Source organism: Homo sapiens, chromosome 15 (genome assembly GCF_000001405.40).
Source record: "Homo sapiens chromosome 15, GRCh38.p14 Primary Assembly".
Taxonomy (NCBI): domain Eukaryota; kingdom Metazoa; phylum Chordata; class Mammalia; order Primates; family Hominidae; genus Homo; species Homo sapiens.
In genome coordinates this window covers 30,165,105-30,168,544 of record NC_000015.10, presented here as the reverse complement: position 1 = coordinate 30,168,544, position 3,440 = coordinate 30,165,105, and the positions used below count along the sequence as shown (strand labels likewise).

At 53.1% G+C, this 3,440-nt stretch overlaps 1 annotated feature.

The window, feature by feature from the left end:
- Nucleotides 936–1,437: an enhancer, noted in NCBI's record as "H3K4me1 hESC enhancer chr15:30459311-30459812 (GRCh37/hg19 assembly coordinates)". NCBI's record gives its function as "activates a minimal SCP1, AML or CMV promoter by ChIP-STARR-seq in naive H9 embryonic stem cells {active_cell/tissue: H9 hESC(naive)}" and the evidence as "EXISTENCE:reporter gene assay evidence [ECO:0000049][PMID:30033119]".

The following is a 3,440-nucleotide window of genomic DNA, read 5'->3' as shown; positions in this document are numbered from 1 at the left end:
AGGGAATTCCTGCGTGGATTCTGTTTAGTGACCTTGCTTCTGGTCCACCCCTGCTTCTCCAGCATCATTTCCCACTATTGGAGACTCCCCCTTCCTGAGCTTTCCCTGAGGACTGGGCCCCCTACCTTGCTCCTGAGCAGGAGACCTGGCCTCAGTCAAATTTAGACCCGGTTCTTTATTCTGATCAACTGTGTGACCTTGGGCAGGTCACTTACGACCTGTCTGAGCAGAATTTGCCTTGTCTTTGAAATGATGCTGGTAATTGTGCCCTCCTCCCAGGTGGGTTAGATGAGAACATCTGTGTGCTCACCAAACAGAGTTATGGTGATTGAACCTGTTGTTGCCACCAATGTCCTCCTGCCTGCCCTGCCTTGATGCCCTCCAGGTCCGCAGTGCCTCTGAGGCTTATTTTACTTCCAGCAACTGGGCTTGGACTTTGACCTCTCTGGCAAGAATTTCTGAATTACTTAGAACCTCATTTTTTCAAAGTGTGGTGCCCAGATCACCTGCATGAGAGGAAATGGGGGTGCTTGTTACCATGCAGATCCCTGGGCACATTCCAGTCCACTGAGTTTTCTGAGTTAGGCTCTGGGAGACAGGTGCGATGGCAGAGGGTCTACATTTTAACAAACTCCCCAGGGGGGCTTGATGCAGGCCAAGCCTGAGAGACCCTTCCTCAGTCCCTTCCCTTGTGTGTCTTCTCCCTTGTTGGGGCCTCCCAGGCCCCTTCCTCTTCAGACCTTGACCTGTGGCCCAGCAGGCTGGGAGCAGGCATCTCTCCACACCCCCAGCCTCCCTCCCCGGACAGCTGCAGCCTTCACCTAATGGTGCCATTTCATGCTTTCCTGCTCGGGTGATTCTGACCAGACAGAGGAGTTCACTCTGTCCTGGGAGCCCTGGCACCCAGATCCATTTATCGTCCTTGAGTCTTCCAGCTGGCTGCTCTCCCAGGGACTGCAGCTCCCAGCCATGCGGGAGGCGAGGCAGCTGTGAGTTCCCGATAATTTGGCTCTCCCTCACACCGTTCTCACCGCCATTCCTCCACAGCCATGGGAGCCCTGCCTCCTAGAGTGGGGGAAATAGTCCTGGAGGCGGAGGAGGCTGCTGGGCTGTGGAAGGAAGCACTGGACTGGGGGTCCAGGGATTTAGATTCTTCCTCCACCAAATGCCTGTGCGACCCTGGACAACTGGCTTCACTTCTCCGGGCCTCCAGGAGTCTTGGGGGTGGCATGTGGGGTATGAAAGGGCTCCTGCTGTTTTCCTTCTTTCTACATTTTTTTTTCTCTGACTCTACAAGGGACAGCAGAGCCAGGTGATAGGGGGTCACATCAGAAGGAGAGACAGCCGAGGGAATCTTGGTCTCTCAGCTACTGGCATGTCTCCCAGGGAAAATGGAAATGCAACCCAAGGGCAGCCTGGGAAAAATAAGCAGTGGTTCTCTACATGCTGGGTAGACGTGGGCTGTGGGAAGGACATGTGGTCTCCACCCATGCAACGTCTCATTTAATCCCAGCCTCAACTCGAGGGTTTAGGAATAAAAGCTGCATTCCAATAGTTTAGAAGTCTGACACTCAGAGAGGTGAAAGAAACCACATGAGGTGAAATGGTTCATAACGGGGTATGTCTGACTCTCTATAGTCCTAGGCCTGCTGCAAGAGGAGAGGAAGGGTGGGCAGTTCCCAAAGCTGTGCGCAATGCCCCTACCTCCCATGCCAGCTTTGGGGTCTCACTGTACACACACACACACACACACACACACACACACACACACACTCTCACACCAGGCCTTGGTTCCTTCCCAATCTATGCTTGAGTGGGTGCCCCTGGATACAGCCTGATGACGACTGAGTCTTAACATGGTTTGTGGAAAGAGCCCCGGGCCCAGAGCCAGCCTGTACTGCACGGGGGAACCCTAGGAAGGCCACTTCCCCACAGAATTCAGTGTCTTCTGTGAAATGACATAATGTGACCCAATCTCAAGTCTTTCCTGCTTGATCATTTACAGACCCACATATTTATTGAATGTGGGCAGATTACCTGAGGTCAGGAGTTCGAGACCAGCCTGGCCAACATGGTGAAACCCCTTCTGTACAAAACTACAGCAAATTAGCTGGGCGTGGTGGTGGGCAACTGTAATCCCAGCTACTTGGGAGACCGAGGCAGGAGAATCGCTTGAACCCGGGAGACAGAGGTTGCAGTGAGCCAAGATCATGCCACTGTACTCCAGCCTGGCAGACAGCGAGACTCCGTCTCAACAACAACAACAACAAATGTGTAAACAAGTGAGCGTCCCAACAAAATTTTACTTACAAAAATTAGGTGGGGGACTGGATTTAGCCCCTGGACTGCTGTTGGCCAACACCTGCACTAGAGCAGCAGCAGTGAGCAAGACAAATGAGGTGGCTGCTTATACAGTCACAAGCTGCATGAGTACCATGGGGATGAGAATGGAGAGCCGGGAAAGTAGGTGGTTGGGGCCTTGATGCTGGGTAGGGGAGGAGGGAGCCATGGGTGTGTGGAGGAAGGTGCACTTGGAAGTGCTGTTTGAGCTGAGAAAGATGTGTAGACTGTATTAGTCTGATCTTGCACTGCTATAAAGAAACACCTAAGACTGGGTAATTTATGAAGAAAGGAGGTTTGGTTGGTTCGAAGTTCCACAGGCTGTACAGGAAGCATGATGCTGGCATCTGCTCGGCTTCTGGAGAGGCCTCAGGAAACTTACAATCATGGCGGAAGGTGAAGAGGGAGCCAGCACTTCACATGGCCAGAGCAGGAGGAAGAGGCAGGGGAGTGGGGGTTGGAGGGTGCTACACACTTTTAAATGACCAGTCTCATGAGAACTCACTATCACTAGATCTGACCCTGTGATCCAATCACCTCCCACGAGGCCTCACCTCCAACATCAGGGATTACCATTTGACACGAGATTTGGGCAGGGACACAGATCCAAACTGTATCATAGGATTTAGCTCCATGAAGGGGGCACAGCATGTGCAAAGGCCCCGAGGAGGGTAATACAGTGTATTAGGGGAAACAAAAGAAGGAGTATGGGCTGGTGTTAGCAACCCAGGGAGGGAAAGCCGAGGTGCTGCTGGATGGAGAGCATGAGGGGCTGTAGGCGACGCTAGGGCTTTTGGCCTGTCTCCCTGGGATGGCTTTTCATTACGGCGACATGACCGGCTTTGCATTTTATGAAGATTGCCTTGGTGGCAAATACGGAACTGACTGGAGGTGAGCAAGAGGAGACCCAGATCAGGCGGCTATGTCGGGGGCCAGTTGACCTGTGGGCCTGGAGCTCAGAAGTGGCTTGAATCTGACCGAAGAGGATGGCACTGATGCCAGGGTGTGGAAGGAACCACTCAGGGAGACACCATGGCTGAGAAGGGAAGGACCCCAAGGGCAAGCCTGAGGCAACCGAAGGAGGAGTAGTCACAGTTATG